The following is a 23,530-nucleotide window of genomic DNA, read 5'->3' as shown; positions in this document are numbered from 1 at the left end:
AACAACTATAGTGAAATCTAGAATGACCTGCTGGTATACGAAAATGGATTATGCTGAAACATGTCCAAGTCTCATCTGTATCCCATCTTCCCAAAATTCCAAGGAGCTATCAGCCCACATGAGTATCATAAAACCAGCCCCCAATCCAGAAAACCTAGCTTTGGGTCTGACATCCCTAATGGATCCCTTCCTCTGAAGTGCTCCCCTCCAAAGTAACCAAGGACCTCCCAGTAATCATGACTCTGAGGGAAGTGAGAATGCTGGCGGGGCAAGGTCACTTTTGTTCTCTGTCCCCATTCCTGTGCCCATACCAAGCAGGTAGCCAGCCTCCACTCCCCTTCACCTCAGGGAACATTTGTCTTGTGAGCAGACAGGCTACAGCCTGGCTGTTTTCCAGAATCCTAAACAACTTGATAGGATTATGCATAGGGGAGAGGGGACAGTGACTTGGAAGGCAGAAATGCAGGAGGAAAGTTTCTGTTCATGGGACATTAGGGGACCTCAGGGAGACAGGATCTCAGGGAAATGGCTTCTTGGTACACAGAAGGCTGGCTTCCAGGCATCAGAGCTCCAAGCCTAGGTAGAAGCACCCTCCCCAACTCACCCCTCCTGCCCCACCACCCTGGAGCAGAAGATATGCTAACCTTCACGGGACCATGTGGACTTGGACTGTGAGGATAGAAAGGACAATCATGATGGATTGAAGGTCCTACAGAAGTGCCCCCAATTCTTGGGTAATTCCTCATAAGAGGAAGGCCCCTCCGGTAGTAAATGAGATTGAACTTCAGTGGGATGAAGGAAAGATGAAGATTTAAGCTTCCACCTCTGAGAAAATTTGCCCTGAGATACACACTACACAGAAGACACAGCAGTCCAGTGCACACTCTTTATTACTAGTTAGGATCAGAAAACCCCTGACAAAGGTTGATTTTGGTGAGCTGGGCGGGATCTTACAGGGAAACTTGAAGACATCTTTAGCTTGGACTGGAGGCAGATCTAACCCACCATCCCTGAGCTCTACCCTGGATCCCTCCTTGCCTTGCAGCAGCTGCCTTGGGGGAGCCTGCAGAGAACACGCCAAAGAGGAAGGGTCCAGGGGCATTCCCAAGAGTGCTCGCCCCTGTCCAGTTTTATTTTTAACCCAATTAGTCCTCTCAAGAGAAACACCATCCATAGCCCACAGCCCTTATGTCTGTCTGTCTGTCCTTGAAATCCATTTTGTTCTTCATCCACCTATTGACTAGAAAGGGACTTGGAATGGGGGCAGCCCGAGGCTGAGGGCTGGAGTGTGTAGTGAATACTCCTCAGAGCACTGTCTTTCTTCAAGACACCCCAGTGGTCTTTCAGGCAGGCTTACTGGCAGCCAGGAAAATATCTGTCCCTCTCAAAGGAGGAAATCAGCAGACAATCAGAAAAGCCCTGCCTGCACTTCTGTAAGACCACTTTCCTGAACTTTGCCACTGCTTATTTGTCTCACCTGCAAACCAATGAGACTAGCAGTTTGGTTACTCAAGACCTTTCATGCAAGTCTCTTTCACATTGCCCACAAAACTGCAAAAATGGATCTAGATGTTATTTAAATTGGTTTTACCTAAGGCAACACTACATGCAAGGCAAAGAAGATACCCCTGATCTAATTTGTATCCCAAATTATGCTCTCTCCTATCTTCTAACCAACTCAGCAACAAGGATTATGATGTGTGCACCAAATAATAACCTATAAGTCTAGCTCCTAACACATATTAGACAATAACTATTTAACAAACTAAACGAAATTCATCAAAGTTGCTACCATCTACAGAATTGAACACAACCCCCCAAACTCTTCCAAGTTAATTCCTTGTCCCAGTGGAAAAATTCAATTCTAACAAAACAATTCTGCTCTTCCTTTTCCCCCAATGAGTGTCAAATCATCTCTTCTTCTCTGACTTCCTCTTACTCCTCTCTGCTGCAGCCAGTAAGTCTGCAGTCAGTCTCACTTTCTTTTGGCTTTGGAAGATCTTCTAATGGAACAGGTTCAGCTTCTTCAGCAACAAGCAAGTTTGGTGGGGCTGAGATACAAAAACAGAACCTCACCTATAAAACCAACAAAGCAAAATGAAGAAAACATGAAGATTGCAGTAGTTTCAAAAGGAATAATAGCATTTTCAAGGAAGTGTGGTGATTCTAAAATTTGTTTCCAAAGGAATAACAGCATTTTCAAGGAAAAGTACTGTTCCTAAAATTCAACATATCTTCTAACTCTAAAATCACACAACTGCTCCCAGCCACATACATGGCTTTTTCAGGAAAAGGAGTGAAACAAAAAGGAAAAGAAAAGGCTTCATGACTTCAGCTTCTCCAGGGTATTAACCAATCAGCATCGGCCATCCAGAATCCACCACCTGCAAAATTTAAATGCAATCAGGAGAAATCAAAAGTAGTCCATCTCTGTTCAAGTAAATGAATAACATGAGAATATAAATGCATATATATTTGTATGTATGTGTATCCAAAACAACTTTTAAAATGGCTAATTTGGGTAATGGGATAATAAATTATTTTATTTAATTTTCTCCATAATTTGGGGTTCAATTTTTCTGTGAAGTAAATAAGTTATACTTTAATCAGAAGAGGGTCTTAGGAAATTGCTTTCTCTTTGAAGTGTGTCCATTCTTACTTACCTTCCTGAAATCACTGAGTTTGTCCTCCACTCTCAAATGGCACACAGGCTTTCTTGCATTTATAGCAGGCCGTACGCCATGAAAAATTAATGGCTTTACACCATGGGCATTTCCAATTCACTGGAACTGGAAATGAGGCAGGCTTCTCCTGCTGCTGGGATCCCGAGACTTTATTCACTTTTGGTTTCTTGGCCTTCTGCCTCTGAGGTTGCCATTTCTTTGGGCTTTCTCTGACACCATGGCTCCTGCTGTCCCCCAGGGGAGTGCCCTGGGGCCTCTCTGGACCTTCTTCTGGTTTGCAGCTCCTGCTAAACACCAGGGTGGCCATCCCCTGGGCCCTCTCTCGGCTTCCTTCCTGGCTATAGCTTCTGTTGTCTCCCTGGAGGACAATCCTCTGGGGCCCCTCTGGGCCTTCTTCCTTGATATGACTTCTGCTGTCCCCCAGGGGAGTGTCCTGGGGCCTCTCTGGACCTTCTTCTGGTTTGCAGCTCCTGCTAAACACCAGGGTGGCCATCCCCTGGGCCCTCTCTGGGCTTCCTTCCTGGCTATAGCTCCTGTTGTCTCCCTGGAGGACAATCCTCTGGGGCCCCTCTGGGCCTTCTTCCTTGATATGACTTCTGCTGTCCCCCAGGGGAGTGTCCTGGGGCCTCTCTGGACCTTCTTCTGGTTTGCAGCTCCTGCTAAACACCAGGGTGGCCATCCCCTGGGCCCTCTCTGGGCTTCCTTCCTGGCTATAGCTCCTGTTGTCTCCCTGGAGGACAATCCTCTGGGGCCCCTCTGGGCCTTCTTCCTTGATATGACTTCTGCTGTCCCCCAGGGGGACAGTCCACTGGGGCCTCTTTGGACCTTCTGGTTTGCACCTCCTGATAAACACCAGGGTGGCCATCTCCTGGGCCCTATCTGAACATCCTTCCTGGCTGTAGCTTCTGCTGTCTCCCTGGGGGACCGTCCCCTGGGGCCCCTCTGGACCTTCTGATTTGTGGCTCCTGCGAAACACCAGGGTGTGCATCCTCCGGGCCCTCTTTGGACCTTCTTTCTGATTTTGTCTCTCTCTGTTCCCCAGGGGATCCATCCCCTGGGGTCCTTCTGTACCTTCTTCCTGGGAGTGGCATCCGCTGCTCCCCAGTGGGGCTGTCCCCTGGGGACTCTCTGACAGCGGGTTGTGGCACCCACTGTCCCCGGGGAGGGGCATTCTTTGGGACCTCTCTGAACCTTCTCCCTGGCTGTGGCTTCTGCTGTCTCCTAAGGGGAATGACCCCTGAAGGATTTTGGAATCTTCCTCCTGGATGTAGCTTCTCTGGTACCACAGAGGGGCCATCTCCTCCTGGAAGCCCACTGCAGGCCACGGGCAAGGTGGGTGGATCTCAGTAGGAGGCATCTGAAGTGGGACTGCTGCTGCTTCTGCCCCCGTGACTACAGCAGGTGGTAGAGGTGGCAAGGATGGGAATTTCATTGGGAATGGTGGTGGGTGTGGGAATGGATGTGGCACTGGCAGAGGGGGTTGCATGCCCTGGGCCCAGGGACTCAGAGGTCCTGGCACATAAAGAACATCTGTCGGGGTTGGCATCTGGGCATTAGCATGTGTCCCCATGGCCACCATATCGCTCTGCTGCTCTGTAGCCAGGGGACATGCCGCAGCCCCATTCTGCTCTGCTTGCGGCCCAGACATTATTTCATGGGCCAGTGGAGCGGCCTGGGGAAACCTCTCGATCTGGAGCAGCCTCCCGTACAGCCCATCACGCTCATTCAGCGCCTGCTGCAGGGCAGCCTGCGCGAGGTGCAGCTGTGTTGCCGCCACCTCATGCTCCAGGCGCAGCTGCTGCAGCTGGGACGTTAGAGCCCAGGAGGTCGCCTGGCGCTCCTCCGCATGCCTTTGCAGCCGCCGAACGTGGTGCAGCAGCTCCTCCCGCTGCCTCGTGGCCACTCGCACGCTCAAAGCCAAAGCGCTCCAGGTACAGGCCCTCTTGATGGCGCGCGGCACCTGAGAGTCGGCCACAATGGCCTGAAGGCTGTCCTCTACCTCGTTCCACGGCCGCGAGCGGAAGGCCACGTAAAAGGCTGGGCCGCTGCCGTCCATGAGGACTTCATTGTTAATGAACCTGATCACATCATTGTGGCGGAAGCCGCTGGCATGGTCCCCAAAATTCATCGCCATGGCGGCTGTGGCCTAGTCAAGCAGCTGCCTCACGGTGCGTCGCCTCAGCTGCTGCCGCCACTTCCGGTACCGGCTGCTGCCGACAACCAGTCCACCCCTCACCTCCCCTTTCAGTCTTACTTTAGTCCTTGCTCAGTCCTGGCCTCCTCCTTGGCCTCCTTCCTCCCTCACTCCCTGGTTCTCACAAAGAGAGAAGCAGGTCCCCCTCGCCACACCGAACCCTACCGGCGACTCCGCGACATGTCACAGAGAAAAGCTGAGTCGTGCCGCAAGGCTGGCTGGGACCGGCAAGGCTTGCTGGGACCAGCTTCATTTGGCACAGCGCTCCCCACAGGGAAAATCGGTGCGCTGCAGACTGTAGTGACCCAACAGAACCTTTGTTTCCAATAGCTTAGGAAGGACAATATCCAGTATCATGGAATGAATCCCTAGCCAGGTGATGGAGTTGGATAGGTGTATATATGGGTGCTGTTCTTGTCTCACCTCCATCTCTTGTACTCTCAATTACTACTTCAAACATTCCATAGAGTTAGTCATGCTATGTGCACCCTTCCCTTAGCTCCTGAACAGGTGAACTTAGAGTCCCTGTCATCAAGAAAAGCAAGTAATTGAGCCATGAAGGTCCTGTAAATTCATTTCCATCTTTATCTGGTCAACCCAGATCTCAGAGGGTATCTCTTTTTCCTTTTGGCTAAATGCTCGTCCATGATCTGGATCTTCCCTAGGAGAAATGCTAAAGGGAGTCCTCTGGGCTGCACTAGACAGTAACTAGAATTCAAACAAAAACCACACGGTAAAGATAACAATGTAGGTAAATACACAAGACAAGATTAACGTATTTTTGGCTTGTAACTTACTTTTTTTTTTTTTTTTTTTTTGACGGAGTTTCACTCTTGTTGCCCAGGCTGGAGTGCAGTGTTAGGGATCTCGGCTCACCTCAACCTCTGCTTCCTGGATTCAAGCAGTTCTTCTGCCTCAGCCTCCCGATTAGCTGGGATTACAGGCACCCACCACCATGCCCGGCTAATTTCTGTATTTTTAGTAGAGATGGGGTTTCACCATGTTGACCAGGCTGGTCTCGAACTCCTGACCTCAGGTGATCCATCCGCCTCAGCCTCCCAAAGTGCTGGGATTACAGGCTTGAGCCACCACTCCTGGCCCCAAAAATATTTTTTTAAGAAAAGAGAAAGAAGGCCGGGTGCATTGGCTCATGCATGTAATCCCAGCACTTTGGGAGGCTGAGGTGGGCAGATCACAAGGTCAGGAGATTGAGACCATCCTGGCCAACATGGTGAAACCCGTCTCTACTAAAAAAAAAAATACCAAAATTAGCTGGACGTGGCAGCGAGTGCCTGTAATCCCAGCTACTCAGGAGGCTGAGGCAGGAGAATTGCTTGAACCCAGGAGACGGGTTCAAGCACCCAGGAACCCAGGAACAGCACCATATATTGACTCTGTTTTGGGAAACTCCTTTAATGCTTACCCAGATCATTTATAATGCTGCGTTTGCCTTTACTTCCTTTGCCTTTACTTCCTGCTTGTGGCAAACCTGAAAGTCAGCAACAAGTAGAAGTATAGGGTCTTCTCAGGCCTTTTCTGAGCATGTCCAGTCTTGGGCATGTACAAGGCTTTCTCAATTCCCTGGTTTACATTATGGGTTTTAAAAGCCCTCATTCTCCCACATATCTCTTTTTCCCACCCTCTTTCTTCCCAGGATTTTTGGTCTATCTATTGCTTGTGTTGACTGCTATCCCTTGTCCCAGGCTGCTACAGCCAATACTTTTGCCTTTAAATGCTTTTGGTAAATGCCACCTGGAAAGCTGCCCCATCCCTGCAAATTCTGAGTCAGATGGGCAAAACAGAAGTAAGCCCTTACATCTGTCCTTCAGGGAGCTATCAGACAGATTAAAACACACAACCACAATTATTTGAGAATAAGGTCTGTATTGCTCCATCTGGCACATGGCATCCTGTACCAGGAGTACAGGCTACTGTCTTCATGGCTGCCTCCAATCTAGTGTGTGGGGAAAGGGAGACAGGCAATTTGAAACACCAGAGAACTCCCTTACTGCAAGGCAGCAGCTTCTTTCTTCATTTGGCTTTCCCCTGGTTGTTATACGCTTTGACTAGATTCCAGAGTTCCGCAAAAGTTAATTCTGACAGTATTTTCCAGCTCCATTAGATGCTTTTATGAAGGGATAGGACCTCAATTTCTCTACTTCGCCATTTTTTTTATAAAGAGAGCTATCATATCCCAAAACTATTAATATCCCAAGTAAGATTAATTTTATCTCCTTGTCACCTATCACTCATCCTTCCAGCTCAATCACCACCTCTTCCAAGAAGTTTTTCCTGACCACTACACCACCAATACTGTGTAATTAGTTTTTTTATTCTTCTTTCTCTTCAACTAGACTTAGTCCCTTGAGAACCGAGATTGTGGCCTTTCATCTCTGGATTTCTAGCACCTGATATGGTTCCTATTACATGTATTGCTTATAAATGCCAAGAAGAGGGAACAAAGTAATGGAAGATAGTGAAAAAGGAAAGAAAAAGGGGAAAACAGAGACTACTTCATGAGTTCTATAATCTTGGTTAAAAGTCAGACTGAAAGCTGTAAGAGAATATTCTTGTCATATTTTCAATTCAGAGAAAAATAATTTTTTAAAGACACATACTTCCCTAAAGAAAAGCATTCACTGTATCCAAACTGATGTATCTATCTTTTGGGGAAGTGCTTTCATATACTGTTAAACTTCATAACAATTTCAAACTATTTCCAAATTAATGTAACAACACTTCATAAATGCCAATGTGTTTTTAAATTATTAACTTTAAAGTCCTTTGGCCTTTCAGCCCTTTATGGAATCAATTTCCACTATATTGAGACAGGAAGGTGATATATAATGGCCTATAAAATGAGATTTAAAGGGTAACCTGGCTGAGTTATCATTCTTGATAAAACAATGATAATATCACAAATACCACCACACTTTACTTTGCAGGTGTGCAAGTTTGCAAAGTGTGAATGTATGTTTACAAGAGGTAGAACAATTCAATTGCATAAATTAATCAATCTGAGAAACCACATTAAAAACATAGCTAATTTTTACATGATTTTCAGTAAGTTCTTATACTTTCAATTTTAGTATAACCTCTGTCACAAAGCCTTCATAACAACTCTAAATGATAATCATTGATGATAAAGGAAGGAAAATAACATTTTAAAGTTCATAGTATTAGTATGTATCTACGTTTGTGCAGATTTAATCTCCTAGGAATCAAAGGTGGTAAACAGAATAGAGAAAAGGCATATGGAGTAAATATAAGCTATATATGCTGAGTACTGAGGAACAATTTTCATGCCGCTTTAGGAAAATTTACACCTTTTATTACATATACTTTCTTTTCTTGTACTTTGTACCCACAGTGACCCATTCAATACAGCTACCCAACAGATGCCAAAAGAAAAGAAAGGAGGCAGCTAGGCAGTTAATCTCAAAAAGACTAGAGTCACATCCCCTTAATTTTTTTTTTCCATGTGAGCAGAATACATGGGCAGAAGCCCATAGTCAATAATCAACGCAAGTGTGAGCACAGCTGAGCACAATGGCACATTGTAAGTGAATATACTTTACAATCAATTTCATCAGACCCATCTTGACAACACTCATGGTTATTATTGTGTATGTGGTAAAATTAGCCATAAAGAGTAAGCAGACATAAATTTGTTTTCCATAGACAAACGGTTTTTGTATTTTCTTTCTTCTTGTTAGCCCTTTAGTATCTGTAAGTAACATCCCTATTGAATATTCTCACGGAAACCATTCACAAATTTACACCTCCCACCTCCACCCCCACCACAAACACACCCATACACACAATCTCTTATGTCTGCTTACATGCCAATGTGGCCTGGAGGACTCAAGGAAGCAGGAACTCTGGGACATTTAAGCTCTAGCCAACTAACTGGCTGGCAAGTCAGACTTAGATCACCACTCTTGGAGGGAAGGGCAGGGGCAGATGATTCATCAGCCAAGTGAAGGGGTATGAAACAAAGGAGAATGTATGCTGAATCCCCAAGGATCTGAGAGTCTTAAGGTTGGGGCAGAAGGTAGGAGGCTGAAATATAAAGGGAAGAACCAAGTAGGTTGCAGATCTATGAGCAGTTAGTTACCCCAGGATGAGCATAGACTGACTGGTACAGAAAGGCTGGGGGAAACAACCTTTAAGAAAAATCGCTGGACCTGAATTGGAGGAAACTGACAGGCCCCTTTGGCTTGGCAATTATTAGAAATAGCCTATCAATAGCGCCACTTACAAAAATTAATATAAATACATCGATACTAGGAGTATAAAATGACTGCTACTCTGGTTTTGATCTAATGGCAAGAGGGTGACTTCTGAAAGCACTAGATACCTGAAGGTCCAGTAGGCTATATCTGACAATTGAATAAACCAGAAGAGGTGAAGTCAGCATCTATTTTGCACTGGTGAGGATAGTACTGACAAGCCCAACCCCACACCACCCCACAATCTCTTTTTGAAATGCCACTTGAGCTACCATTGTCATTTTTCCACCACTGTCTTGAGCCTTGAGCAATGAGGTACAGATTGCTATTAGACAGTGAGATCCAGTAGGATTTTATCAAAATTTCCTAATCTAAGGAGGACAGGCCCAAAAGCCATTGATAGAAGAAATCAATTTTCCTTTCAGACTTCACTCATGGCTAAGAAGAGAGGATGGTGACTTTGTCACCAATTTGTCCAGTGCCTGGAATCCGCACTCCATTATTATCTTGCTTTCCACAAGGCAGTGTCTAGAAAGCAGACCACTCTCTGAAGGTGCCACCCCATTCTTTAGAAATTTGGGATTTGAGTTTAGAAGAATCCAGATCACACAGTGCCTTGTGCCAGGTAAAGGCACTCATCACTCACTCCCATAATAAATATAATCCCCGCCCCTGACACACACACATACAACTTAGAGGAGACAGACACTGCACCCAATAGAGGAGAAAAATAAAAAAAAAAATCAGCCCTGCTCTCTGCCCAAGGGCACACTCAGAGCCCTGTACCCTCACCAGAGGTGCTTCTACTCTAAAGTGCCATATGTCATCTCTCTTGGGAATGTACCTTTTCCCATCTGCCTTTACTGACCCACATCTGAATGTATGCTTTTGACACTTTCTTGCTCATGATAACAGCCATGATTTAGGGAGTGTTTACTATGGGGTTATTACACAAAAAATGCCTTTACTTCATTTAATCCTCAAAACAACTCCATGTATTAAAGGTACAATTATCAACCCATTTTACAGACAGAGGCACTGGGGCTCATAAAGGTTAAGCATAAGTAATTTGCCCAAGATCACACAGCTAGGAAGTGGTGGACTTAACAGTGTTGTGAACACTTTGTCATACTTGCTTTAGAACTTTTTACTTAAAGAAATTTGATGTTAGTGATACAACTAAAGTCCTCCTGTATCATATTTTCTCCTTCCCTCCCTTGTGCCTTCCATCCTCAAAACTAACCCAAGCCATATACCTTGCTGTGTATGTTTTTATAGATATGTATTTATCTATAAACATTATGTAGTATTACCTCTGTGGTAAACAATATCAACTTTTTCAAATTTGCATTGTTCACTTTACATGATATTTTCCATATCTTCCTATGTTGATAACTGTAGGTTAGTTCATTCATTTTAACTGCTGTTCACTCTTTGAATGTGCAGTTATGTTATTTCCAGTATTATCATCATTAGCAACAGTTGCAATTAACAACATTGTACATGACTGGTAGTATACATCTGTAAGTATATACTTAGAAGTGGAATTTCCCCATGCATGCATCTACAATCTTATTATATATTACTAAATTTTTCTCCAGAAAAGTCTTACAAGATTATATTTCAATCTGACTACAAATACAGAATTTCTGTATTCTTGGAACTTACTAAACAGGGCCATCTTAAATATGATAGCACAGTTAAGACAATTGATGCCTAAGAGAGGGAAAACAAGATGGTTCTCTCTCTTGGCTTGGTTCCCAAGCCAACTGCCCATGACAATCACCCAATAGGCTTATAGAATGCAGATTTCAAGGTGTGGTCCCAGATCTACTGAATTAGACTCTTTAAGAATGGGATGGCTGGGTGAGGTGGCTCATGCCTGTAATCCCAGCACTTTGGGAGGCCAAGGTAGGTGGATCACCTGAGGTCAGGAGTTCGAGACCAGCCTGACCAACATGGTAAAACTCCGTCTTTACTAAAAAATACAAAAAATTAGCTGAGCATGGTGGTGGGTGCCTGTAATCCCAGCTATTCTGGAGGCTGAGGCAGAAGAATTGCTTGAACTCGAGAGGCAGAGGTTGCAGTGAGCCGAGATCATGCCATTACACTCCAACCTGGGCAACAAGAGCAAGACTCTGTCTCAAAGAAAAAAAAAAAAGAGTAGGACCTCAAAATGCTCACCAGATGATCCAGATACAGTTGATCTGTGAACTCAGAGTTTGTATCAGCTGTATTCTGACCACACACCATGCACACTATTCCAGATTTTTCTCTTCTTTAATCATATATTAATTAGACTATTAGAAAGCAATATATGTGGCTGCACTACCATAGAATATGTACCTGGCTTTTACCAAAGGACTGCCAGCTGAGGAGAAGAAACTGGAAGCAAAGAAAGAAGAATCTGAGGAGTCTGATGATGACATGGGCTTTGGTCTTTTTGACTAAACCTCTTTTATAATGTGTTCAATAAAAAGCTGAACTTTAAAAAAAAGATTGGGGTTTATCATGTAATTGTTTCATTTTGTTGTATTCTGTGTTAAGATTTCTAATTAAATTAAGAAAAAAGTACTTTTTTTAGCTGCCCAAATTTATCAACAGCAGCCAGACAAGGAAAGGAAAACACCTTATGCTGTAAACTTTAAACAAAAAAGAACCAGGAGAAAAAAGTTTATGATACCTCTAAACCCACCTTCACTTTCATAATTAATACTGAGGAAAGGAGTCTCGACAAAAGTCTGGCAACTTTCAGTAATTTTCTTCCAATTATACAGATGTGGTCTGTGACAGTGAATAGAAGTAAAATTTCCTAATTTTTCTTGAGTCCATTTTGTTATATAATATTTTCTAGGAATTTTTAAACTTTATCTAAATTTTCCAATATACTCATTTATAATATACTCATCTCTTCAATGTCTGTAGCATAAGTAGTGATACCACATTTTTCATTTCTGATATTAATTAGACATTTTCTTATTGTCTTCATCGGTCTTGGTAGAGATTTCTCCATTTCATTTAGAAGGAATGACTTTTGCTGGTCCACTCTGTTGCATTATTATTTTGTATTGTATTTAATTAATTTCTGTTTTGTTTTTTTTTTTTTGTTTGGTTTTGTTTTGTTTTTGAGGCAGATTCTCACTCTGTTGCCCAGGCTGGAGTGCAGTGGTGTCATCTTGGTTCACTGCAACCTCCGTCTCCTGGGTTCAAGCTATTCTCGTGCCTCAGCCTCCTGAGTAGCTGGGACTACAGGTGCGTGCCACCACACCCAGCTAATTTTTGTATTTTTAGTAGTATTGGCCAGGCTGGTCTCAAACTCCTAACCTCAGGTGATCTGCCCACCTTGGCCTCCCAAAGTACTGGGATTATAGGTGTGAGTCACTGTGCCCAGCTAATTTCTGTTCTTTTTTTTATTGAAGTAGAAATGATATTATTTTTATTATTTTTTTTGCATTTCCATATACTTTTTTTCTGTATGTTATTGGGGTACAGGTGGTATTTGGTTACATGAGTAAATTCTTTAGTGCTGATTTGTTAGATTTTTGTGCACCCATTACCCTAACAGTATATACTGCACCATATTTGTAGTCTTTTATCCCTCCCCGCCTGCCACTCTTCCCCTCAAGTCCCCAAAGTCTACTGTATATTTTTGTTCTTACTGACAATGTTGAACATTATGTGAGCCATGTACTCCCACCCTTCTGTGCTCTGGCTAACTTGTAAAGGACCACCATGCTGTCATATAACCCAAGAAAACACCCACCTGCACTCTTCCGCAATGCAGAAAAGACCCATCTCTATCCTCCTCATGTCCCATAAGACTTACTTCCAATTTCCTTGTTTATCTGCCTCTATTAAAACCTCCAGGCTCCCTTCCTTTTGTTTGAGACATTCCTCACTAAGGTACATTCACTGGATTTCAATAGCCTGATTTAAGTCATCTTCTTAATTATCTGGTGCATTTTGTCTTTTACATTACCTTTTTTGTTTTCTTCTTTCTATGATCTTTGGGTTTTTTCTTTTTTAACGTCATGAACTTTGTTCATTAAATTCGAACCATTCTTCTTTTTAATATAGATATTTAAGGCTGTAGCTTTCCCTTCAGGTAGTACTTTACTGCATACCACAAGTTTTAATATGTAATATGTCCATTGTCACGTAGTTCAAAATATCTCCTAATTTCCATTATGATACAAGAGTTATTTTGAAATCTATTTCTTACTGTCAAAATTATGGGGATTTTCTAGTTTTTATTATTGATATCTATTTTAATGCACTGAAGTTGGAAAACACACACATGATTTCAATTATTTGAAATGCATTATGACTGTCATGGCCCAGTTCGTGGTCATATTTGATAAATGTTTTATGTGTGCTTGAAAACTATTTAATTCTGATGCTTTTGGCATAGTAATCTATATCGTTTTTATGAAGTCAAATTTGTTCATTGTACAATTTGAGCAACAAAATTAATAACTATAATATTGGATTATAACACAAAGAATAAAATAAGAGTTTATACTGATATAAATAAATGATAGAATAAATATATAGATGGGGGAAATGTACACATCTCCTATGCAAAAGAATTCAAAATAAATTATGTAGATACTCCACCCTAAAGTAAGGGGAGCGTAACTGTCCATTCCTTGAATATGGGCTGAGATCAATGACACAATTCCAAAGAATAGAGTATGGAAAGGGAAAAATAGTAACTTCACAGTAGAGAAACCTGGCAGACACCACCCTAACCAAGTGATCAGAGTTAACATCACCAGTGAGAAGTCATATTGAAATAATGTACCCCCTGATATGATGCGATGAGATGGGTACTTCACTTCTATGGATGATGTGATGAGATGGGTACTTCACCTTTATGGTATTCTTACCAATAACTCATAACCCTACACTAATCATGAGAAAACATCACATCAAACCCACATTGGGAGACATTCTACAAAATACCTGACCATTTGAAATTGGCAAGATCATGAAAAACAAAGAAAGACTGAGAAACTGTGACAGATCAGAGAAGAAAAGGAGACATGACAGCCAAATGAAATGTGATATCCTGGATTGGTTACTGGAAAAGAAAAAAAGACACTAGTAGAAAATCTAGTGAAATTTTAATAAAGTCTGTACATTAGTTAGTTTCTTAGTTTTTACAAATATACTGTGGTTACTTAAGATGTTCAAATCAGGGGAAGCGGGGTGAAGAGAATATGGGACCTCCTTGTACTACTTTGCAATTTTTCTCTATATTTAGCTATTCCAAAATAAAAGATTTATTTTAAAAAATGTACTCATTATGTTGTTCAGAGAGAGAATCTTTTTTGCCTGTATTGTCAATTACTGAAGGAAGTATACTGAAATCTACCATTATGACTGTGGGTTTGTTTAATTCTCCTTGCACTCTCAATGTTTGCTTTTATACTTTGAAGTTATGTTATTAGGAACATAAAAATTTTTAATTGTTATGTCTTTCTGGCAAATCAAAACATTTATTTGTATAAAAATTTCAAACATAGTAATAATTTTACCTCTAGTAATGATTTTACCTTAATGTCTATATTGTATGTTAATAATGGTGAGTTTCCTTGCTCTTTACCACCTTTTCTTCATTTTTGACATGGTAACTTCTTACTATATTGTCAATCTTCAGTGCTTTTGAGAAGCCATCATTAATACTGTATCCAAAATTTTTTGTTGTTTTCAGTGGGAGAATTGATCTGAATAAACTTATTCACCATTACCAGAAACCAGAAGGCCTAAAGGCAAATTGAAAGCAGCACTCGGTTTCCAAATTCTAACTCCTAGGGAGAAACAAAATTATCCCAGATAAGGTGGGAAGGTTGCCAAGGAGAATGTACCTAAACTCTGTCAGAGCAAATAGAAGAGCTAAGTGAAGCTTTTCACATTAGGCATAACCAAGTTAACTCTGCAAAAATGAAAACAAATATCATGGAAAAAGAATCCAGATGATAAAAATAACATAATTCAAAGAATAGAGGTATATTCCCCACAGGATTGTTGTGCTATAAAAGAACTTAACAAGAATATTAATTTAATAAACCAAGGGCTCAAAGACAAATAATATAACAACAGAAAAAGCAGAAAGGGGAGATTACAGAAGAAAAAAAAAAGAAAAAAAAAGGCACCTTAACAGATCTATTAAATAGATCAAAAATAACAAGAAACCAGAATAGATATTACTGAAAATCAAATTATGGCATAAAGTAAAACTTGAGATAATTACAGTAAATTCAAAAAAATAATGTCAATGAGATTAAAGTAATTAGAAAATAACACATATGTAGGACAATGATGATCCAAGACAAAGATAGTTGGTGTCCTTGAAATAGAAACTCCCACTAAAGGGACAGAAAAGGACTTGTCTTGTTCCAAGGCAATTCAATAGGGAAAAACAGTTTTTTCAACAAATGCTGCTGAAACACCACATACCAGAGAATAAATTTGGACCCCCTACTTCATACCATATAAAAAAACTAAATTTAAAATGGACCAAAGACTTAAACATAATAGTTATAGCTATAAAACTCTTAAAATCAAGGTCCACTGGAATAAAGATTTCAAAACAGAATGCAAAAAGTTGTTATCATAGAAGAAAATATTGATAAATTGGACTTTGTTCAAATTAAGAACTTCTTTTCAGCAAAAGACACAATTAAGAGAAGGAAAAGACAAGCCACTTGTAATACATATATACAATTACAGACTCATATGTAGACTCTAGAAAAAACACTGCTACAAATCAAGAAAAAGACAAGTAACTCAGTTTTTTAACTGGCATTTCACACAACCACTTGAATAAGCACATCACAAAACATAGCCAAATGGCCATTAAACATGTGAAAATGTGTTCAACATCATTAGTCACCAGGGAAATGCAAGTGAAAACAATGAGATACCATTAAACATCTATCAAAATGGCTGAAATTTAAAAGGCTGACAGTATCAAGTGATAGCAAGGATATGGGACAAACAAAACTCTCATACATTGCTGACAGGTCTGTACAATAGTACAACCACTTAAGAAAACTACTTGAGAATATCTTCTGAAGCTTATTAACCTGCCCTCTGACTTAGCAATTCTATTTCTAGATACATACCCAAGATAACTGAGTACATATACCCTTCAAAAGACATGCACAAGAATATTAATAGCAGAATTATTTATAATAGCCACAAACAGGAAACAAGTCAAATATTTATCAATGGTAGAATGGATAAATAGTGGTATAGTCATACAATTGAATATGACAAGCAGCAATTTAAAAAAAGAACTACCGTCACATACAAAAGTATGGTTGAATCTCACATAATGTTGAGCAAAAGAAGCTAGACCTAACAGTACTTTCAGTATGCTCCATTTATATGACATTCAAGAACAGGAAACACATATGGTAATTATCTTAGTCTATTTTGGGCTGCTATAACAGAATACGTGAGACTGGGTAATTTGTAAAGAACGAAAATTGATTTTTTACAGTTCCAGAGGCTGGGAAGTCAATAATCAAGGTGCCAGCTTCTGATGAGGGCCTTTTTGCTACATCATAACATGGCAGAAGGCATCACATGACAAAAGAGAGCAAGAGGTCAAACTCTCAGCCTCAACCCCTTTTATAATTGGCATTAATCCATTCATGAAGGTGAAGCCCTCATGACTTAAACACCTCCCATTAAGCCCTACCTCCTAATAATGTTGCATTGGGGATTCAGTTTCCAACACATGCTTTTGGGGGCACCCATCAAGCCACAGCAGTAACTGAGGTGGATTTTTTTAAATAACCACAAGCTTTTCTGCAGCTCCTGCCATCAAGCGAGTTTATTCCCTACCCCTAGAATCTGAAATGGCCTTGTGACTTGACCAGTAGAATTCAGCAGGGATGACATTGTACAACTTCTGAGCATTCTTCTGCTCTTGCCCTCTTGCTGCCCTGAGATCGTCATGTAAAGCAGCCCACTCTACCCTCTTGGAGGATTAAGCATACAAATGGAGGGAGAGAGGCCCAGCTGATAGCCAGCACCAACCATAGTCATATGCATAACACCATATTAGACCATCCAGCCCTAGTCAAGCTGCCAAATGACTGCAATCACCTAAGTGGCCTCAGGTGAGACCAGCAGATGAATTGCCCAGCTGAGCCAAGCCTATAATTCTGACCCACAGAATTAGAAGCCAAAAAAAATGGTTGTTATTTTAAGCCACCAAGTTTTGGAATGCTTTCTAATAGGTAACTGATACAGTGATAGAAGACAGAATAGTAGTTACCGCTGGGGGATGGATAGTGGCTGAGTGGGAGCACATAAAAGCCTCCTGAAGTACTGGATATATTTCATTCCTTGGTATGAGTTGTGGTTACACAGGTGTACATTTACAAATTAAATAGTTATATATGTATGGGAAAATTCATCAAGCTGTACAGTTAAGATTTGAGCACATTTTATATGTTATACTCCAATAATCTGTTTTAAAGTCAAGGTCCAGTTTGTCTCGGTTATCTCTGAGTATGGTAGGCAGAATAATGGTCCCCAGAGATGTCTTAATCCTTGGAACCTGTGAACATGTTAGGTTACATGGAAAGGGAAAATTACTACTGCAGATTAAATTAAGATTGCTAATCAGCAGATAGGGAGGCTATCTTGGATTGTCCAGGTGGGCCCAATGTCCTTAAAAGTGAAAAAATAATAGAGTCATGGGGAGATGTGAGTACAGACACAGAGAAATGCAACATTACCGGCTTTCAAGATGGAGGAAAGGAACCTCGAGCTAAGAAAAAAAGTGGTCTGTAGAAGCTGCGAAAGGCAAGGAAATGGATTCTCACCTAAAGTCAGCCCTGCCAAAACCTTCATTTTAGCCAGAGACCTATTTCAAACTTCTGAACTGCAGAAATATAGGATAATAAATTTATGTTGTTTTAAGCCACTAAGATTGTGATAACTTGTTATAGCAGCAATAAAAATTTAAAACATTGGGTTGCTGCTGCAAGAAATTGATTTCAATGCATTTTTTATTTAAGCAAAATATACATATATAATTTAGTATCTTTACCATTTTTAAGTGTCTAGTTCAGTGGTAATAAATACACTTATATTCTTTTTTGTCCCCTTCATCCCCCCTCCCTGCCCTTCCTGGCCTCTTGTAACCACAAATCTATTCTCTATCTTCATGAGATCCATTTTCTTTAGCTCCCACATATAAGTGAGAATATGTGGTATTTGTCTTTCTGTGCTTGGCTTATTTAACTTAACATAATGGCCTCCAGTTGCATCCATGTTGCAGCAAATGACAGGATTTCATTATTTTTATGGCTGAATAATATCCCATAGTGTATATATACCACATTTTCTTTATCTATTCATCCATTGATGGGCACTTAGGTTGATTCCATGTTTTGGCTATTGTGAAGAGTGCTGCGATAAACATGAGAGTGCAGACATCTTTGATATACTGATTTCCCTTCTTTTGGATATATACCTAGTAGTGGAATTGCTAGATCATATGGTAGTTCTATTTTCAGTTTTTTGAAGAACCTCCATACTGTTCTCCATAGTGGCTGTACTAATTTGCATTCCCACCAACAGTGTTCAAGAGTTCCCCTTCTCCATATCCTTGCCAGCATCTGTTATTGCTTGTCTTTTTCATAAAAGCCATTTTAACTAGGGTGAGATGGTATCTCATTGTAGTTTTGATTTGTATTTGTCTGATGATTGGTGATGTTGAGAATTTTTTCATATACCTGTTGGCCATTTGTATGTTTTCTTTTGAGAAATATTTGTTCGGATCTTTTGCCCATTTTTATATCAAATTATTCGTTTTTTTCCTATTGAGTTGAGCTCCTTATATATTCTGATAATTAATCCCTTGTCAAATGGATAGCTTGCAAATATTTTCTCCCATTCTGTGGTCTGTCTCTTCACTTTGTTGATTGTTTCCTTTGCTTTGCAAAGCTTTTTAGCTTGAGGTAATCCCAATTGCCTAATTTTGCTTTGGTCACCCGTGCTTTTGAGGTCTTACACAAAAAATCTTTGCCCAGACCAATGTCCTAGAGCGTTTCCCCCAATGTTTTCTTCTAGTAGTTGAATTTAGCAGGTCTTAGATTTAGGTCTTTAATCCATTTTGATTTTATTTTTGTGTATGATGTAAGAGAGGGATCTAGTTTTATTCTTCTGCATATAGTTATCCAGTTTTCCCAGCACTATTTACCGAAAAGACTGTCCTTTCCCCCTTGTATGTTTGTGGTGCCTGTGTTGAAGATGAGTTGCTTGTAAATGTATGGGTTTACATCAAGGTTCTCCATTTTGTTCCATTGGTCTATGTGTCTGTTTTTATGCCAGTACCATGCGGTTTTGGTTAGTGTAGCTTTGTAGTAAACATTAAAGTCAGGTAGTATGGTGCCTCCAGCTTTCTTTTTGCTCAGCATTGCTTTGATTATTTGCGATCTTTTGTGGTTTCACATAAATTTTAGGATTTTTTTTTCTATTACTGTGAGGAATGTCATTGGTGTTTTGATAGGGATTGCATTGAATCTGTACATTTCTTTGGGTAGTATTGTCATTTAAACAATACTAATTCTCTATTCCATGAGCATGAAATAGCTTTCCATTTGTTTGTGTCTTCTTCTATTTTTTTTTTCATCAGAACTTTATAGTTCCTTGTATAGATCTTTCACTTCTTTGGTCAGATTGATTCCTAGGTATTTTATATTTTTGTAGCTGTTGTAAATAGGATTGCTTTCTTGATTTCTTTTTCAGATTATTCACTGTTGGCATATCAAATGCTACTGATTTTTGGGTTGGGCATGGTGGCTCACATCTGTAATCCCAGCACTTTGGGAGGCTGAGGCGGGTGGATCACTTGAGACCAGGAGTTTGAGACCAGCCTGGCCAACATGGAAAAACCCCATCTCTACCAAAAAATACAAAAATTAGCTGGGTACAGTGGCACATACCTGTAGTCCCAGCTACTCGGGAGGCTGAGACACAAGAATCACTTGAACTCGGGAGACAGAGGTTGCAGTGAGCCCAGATCATGCCACTGTACTCCAGCCTGAGCAACAGAGTGAGACTCTTGTCTCAAAGAAAAAAAAAGAAAAGAAAAGAAAAGAAAAAAGAAAAAGAAAGAAAGAAAGAAATGCTACTGATTTTTGTATGTTGACTTTGTATCCGGCAAATTTACTGAATTCATTTATCAGTTTGAACAGTTTTTTTTGTGGAGTTTTCAGGTTTTCCTAGGTAAAAGATCATGTCATCTGTGAACAACGGTTATTTGACTTCTTCCTTTCCAATTTGGATCACTTTTTTTTTTCTTCCCTAATTGTTCTGGCTAGAACTTCCAGTATTATGTTCAATAATAATGGTGAAAGTGAGCATCCTTGTTTTTGTTCCAGTCCTCGAAAGAAAAGGCCTTTGATTTTTCACCATTCAGTATGATGTTAGCTATGGGTTTGTCATATATGGCCTTTATTATTTTGAGATACATTCCTTCTATACCCATTTTGATGAGGGTTTTTATCATAAAGGGATGTTTAATTTTATCAAATACTTTCTCGGCATCTATGGTTTTTATTCTCGACTCTGTATCACATTCATTGATCACATTTATTGATTTGCATATGTTGAACCATCCTTGCATCCCTGGATGAATCCCACTTGATTATGGTAAGTGATCTTTTTAATGTGTTGTTGAATTCAGTTTGCTAGTATTTGTGTTGAGGATTTTTGCATCTATGTTTATTAGTGGTATTGGCCTGTAGTTTTCTTTTTTTGTTGTGCCCTTGTCTGGTTTTGATATGGTAATGCTGACCTCATAGAATGAGCTTGGAGTTAGTCCCTTTTCTTCAATTTTTTTTTTTTTTTTTTGAGGTGGAGTCTCCCTCTGTCACCCAGGCTGGAGTGCAGTGGCACAATCTTGGCTCACTGCAACCTCTGCCTCCCAGGCTCAAGCAATTCTCACGCCTCAGCTTCCTGAGTAGCTGGGATTACAGAGGTGTGCCATCATGCCCAGCTGATTTTGTTGTATTTTTTGTAGAGACAGCATTCTGCCATGTTGGCCAGGCTGGTCTCAAACTCCTGACTTCAAGCAATCTACCCACCTTGGCCTCCCAAAATGTTGGGATTACAGGTGTGAGCTACCGTGGGCCTGGCCTCTTTGTATTTCTGATGTCTCAGTTGTTTTGTCTTCTTTTTTGTTTCCAATTTCAGTTGGGTCTTTTTTTCTTAGTCTTGCTAAAGTTTTGTTTATCTTTTCAGTAAACCAACATTTCATTTCAGTGATCTTCTGTATTATTTTTTTAGCCTCAATTTCATTTATTTCTGCTCTGATATTTATTCGTTCTTTCTTTCCACTAATTTTGGGTTTGGTTTTGTTCTTCTTTTCTAGTTCCTTGAGATGCATTGTTAGGTTATTTATTTGAAGTCGTTCCACTATTTTATATAGGTTCTTATTGCGATACACTTCCCTTTTAGCAGTGCTTTTGCCATATCCCACTGATTTGGGTATGTGGGTATGTCGTATTTCCATTTTCATTTGTTTCAAGAAATTTTTAAATTTCTTTTCTTAAAAATTAAATTTAAACTTCCTCCTTGACCAATTGATCACTCAGGAGTATGTTGTTTAATTTCCATGCATTGTGTATTTTCCAAGGCTCCTCTTGTTATTGATTTCTAGTTTTAATCCATTGTGGTCAGAAAAGATATATGACTTTTATATGACTTTTATTTTTTATAAGTTGTTCATACTTGTTTTTGAAGCCTAAGATATGGCCTATTCTAGAGAATGTTTCACAGGCTGATGAAAAGAATGTGAAATATCAGTTAGGCTACTAGATCTAGTATGTAGTTTAACTCTGCTATTTTTTTGTCCATTTTCTGTCTGATCTGTCCATTACTGAGAGTTGGATATTAAAGTCCCCTACTATTATTATATTACAACCTATCTCTCCCTTTAGATCTATCAATGTTTGCTTTATATACTTGGGAGCTCCAGTGTTGAGTGCATAGATATTTATAATTGTTCTATCCTCTTGCTGAATTGACCTCTTTATCATTATATAGGGACCTTCTTTGTAGTTTTTTTTTTTTTTACAGTCTTTGATTTGATTTGATGTAAGTATAGCTACTCCTGCTCTTTTGTGGTTTCCAGTTGCATGGAATATTTTTTTTGACCCCTTCACTCTCGGCATATGTTCTTTATCAATGAAGTGGCTTTCTCAAAGGCAGCATAGAGTTGGGTCTTACTTCTTTATTCAGTAACTCTACGTTTTTTAAATTGGAGAATTAAGACAATTTATATTCAGTGTTATTATTATAAGGAAAGACTTACTACTGCCATTTTGTTGCTTGTTTTCTGGTTGTTTTGAGACTCCTCTCTTCCTTTCCTCCTTTCTTCCTGTCTTCCTTTGTGGCTGATTATCTGTTAGTATGTTTTAATATGTTGCATTTTATTTTTAGTGAATCTATTACAGATGTTTGTGCTGTGGTTACCAAGAGGCTTACAAAAAACATCTTATAAACATAATAAATTATTTTAAAGAGATGACAACTTATCTTAGATCACAAATAATAGAAACAAAGGCAAAAAAATACAAAGAAATTCTGCAGTTTAACTCAATTTCCCCCCATTTTGACTTTTAGTTGTCTCAACTTACATATTTTTGTGTTACCTATCTCTTAATAGGTTGCTGTGGCTATTATTGTTTTTGATACATTTGTCTTTTGGGCTTCATACTAGGGTTATGAGTGAATTATACACCACAAATACAGCAATAGAGTATTCTGGGTTTGCCTATGTAATTTTTTTATTTTTTTATTTTTATTTTTATTTTTAAGACAGAGTCTCGCTCTGTCACCCAGGCTGCAGTGTAGTGGCACGATCTCAGCTCACTGCAACCTCCACCTCCCAGGTTCAAGCGATTCTCCTGCCTCAGCCTCCCGAGTAGCTGGGATTACAGGCACACACCACCACACCCAGCTAATTTTTGTATTTTTAGTAGAGACGGGGTTTCACCATGTTGGTCAGGCTGGTCTCGAACTCCTGATCTGCCTGCCTTGGCCTCCCAAAGTGCTGGGATTACAGGCGTGAGCCACCGTGCCGGGCCACCTATGTACTTAATTTTACCAGTGGGTTTTATACCTTGAAATGTTTTCTTTTGCACATCAGTGGTTTTTCTTTCAGATTGAAGAAGTGCTTTTAGCATTTCTTGCAAGATGGATCTGTTGGTGGTGAATTCTCTCAGCTTTTGTTTTTCTAGGAAAGACTTTATCTCTCTTCATATTTGAATAATTTTGCTGGATACAATATTCTTGGATGGCAGGTTCTTTTCTTTGAGCACTTCAAAAATGTCATTCCACTCTCTCCTTGTCTATATGGTTTCCACTGAGAAGTATGATGCCAGAAA

The 23,530-nt window shown here is 40.2% G+C and overlaps 1 protein-coding gene across 1 annotated transcript; it reads right to left on the bottom strand.

Moving 5' to 3' along the window:
* Positions 873-5,076, bottom strand: TEX13D (TEX13 family member D). Its single transcript, NM_001355534.2, has one exon. It carries the CDS (start codon positions 4,816-4,818, stop codon positions 2,674-2,676), a length of 2,145 nt encoding a protein of 714 aa, NP_001342463.1. The 5' UTR covers positions 4,819-5,076; the 3' UTR covers positions 873-2,673.

This window comes from Homo sapiens, chromosome X (assembly GCF_000001405.40).
Source record: "Homo sapiens chromosome X, GRCh38.p14 Primary Assembly".
In the NCBI taxonomy this organism is placed as follows: Eukaryota; Metazoa; Chordata; class Mammalia; order Primates; family Hominidae; genus Homo; species Homo sapiens.
This window is presented reverse-complemented; position numbering and strand designations above follow the sequence as displayed.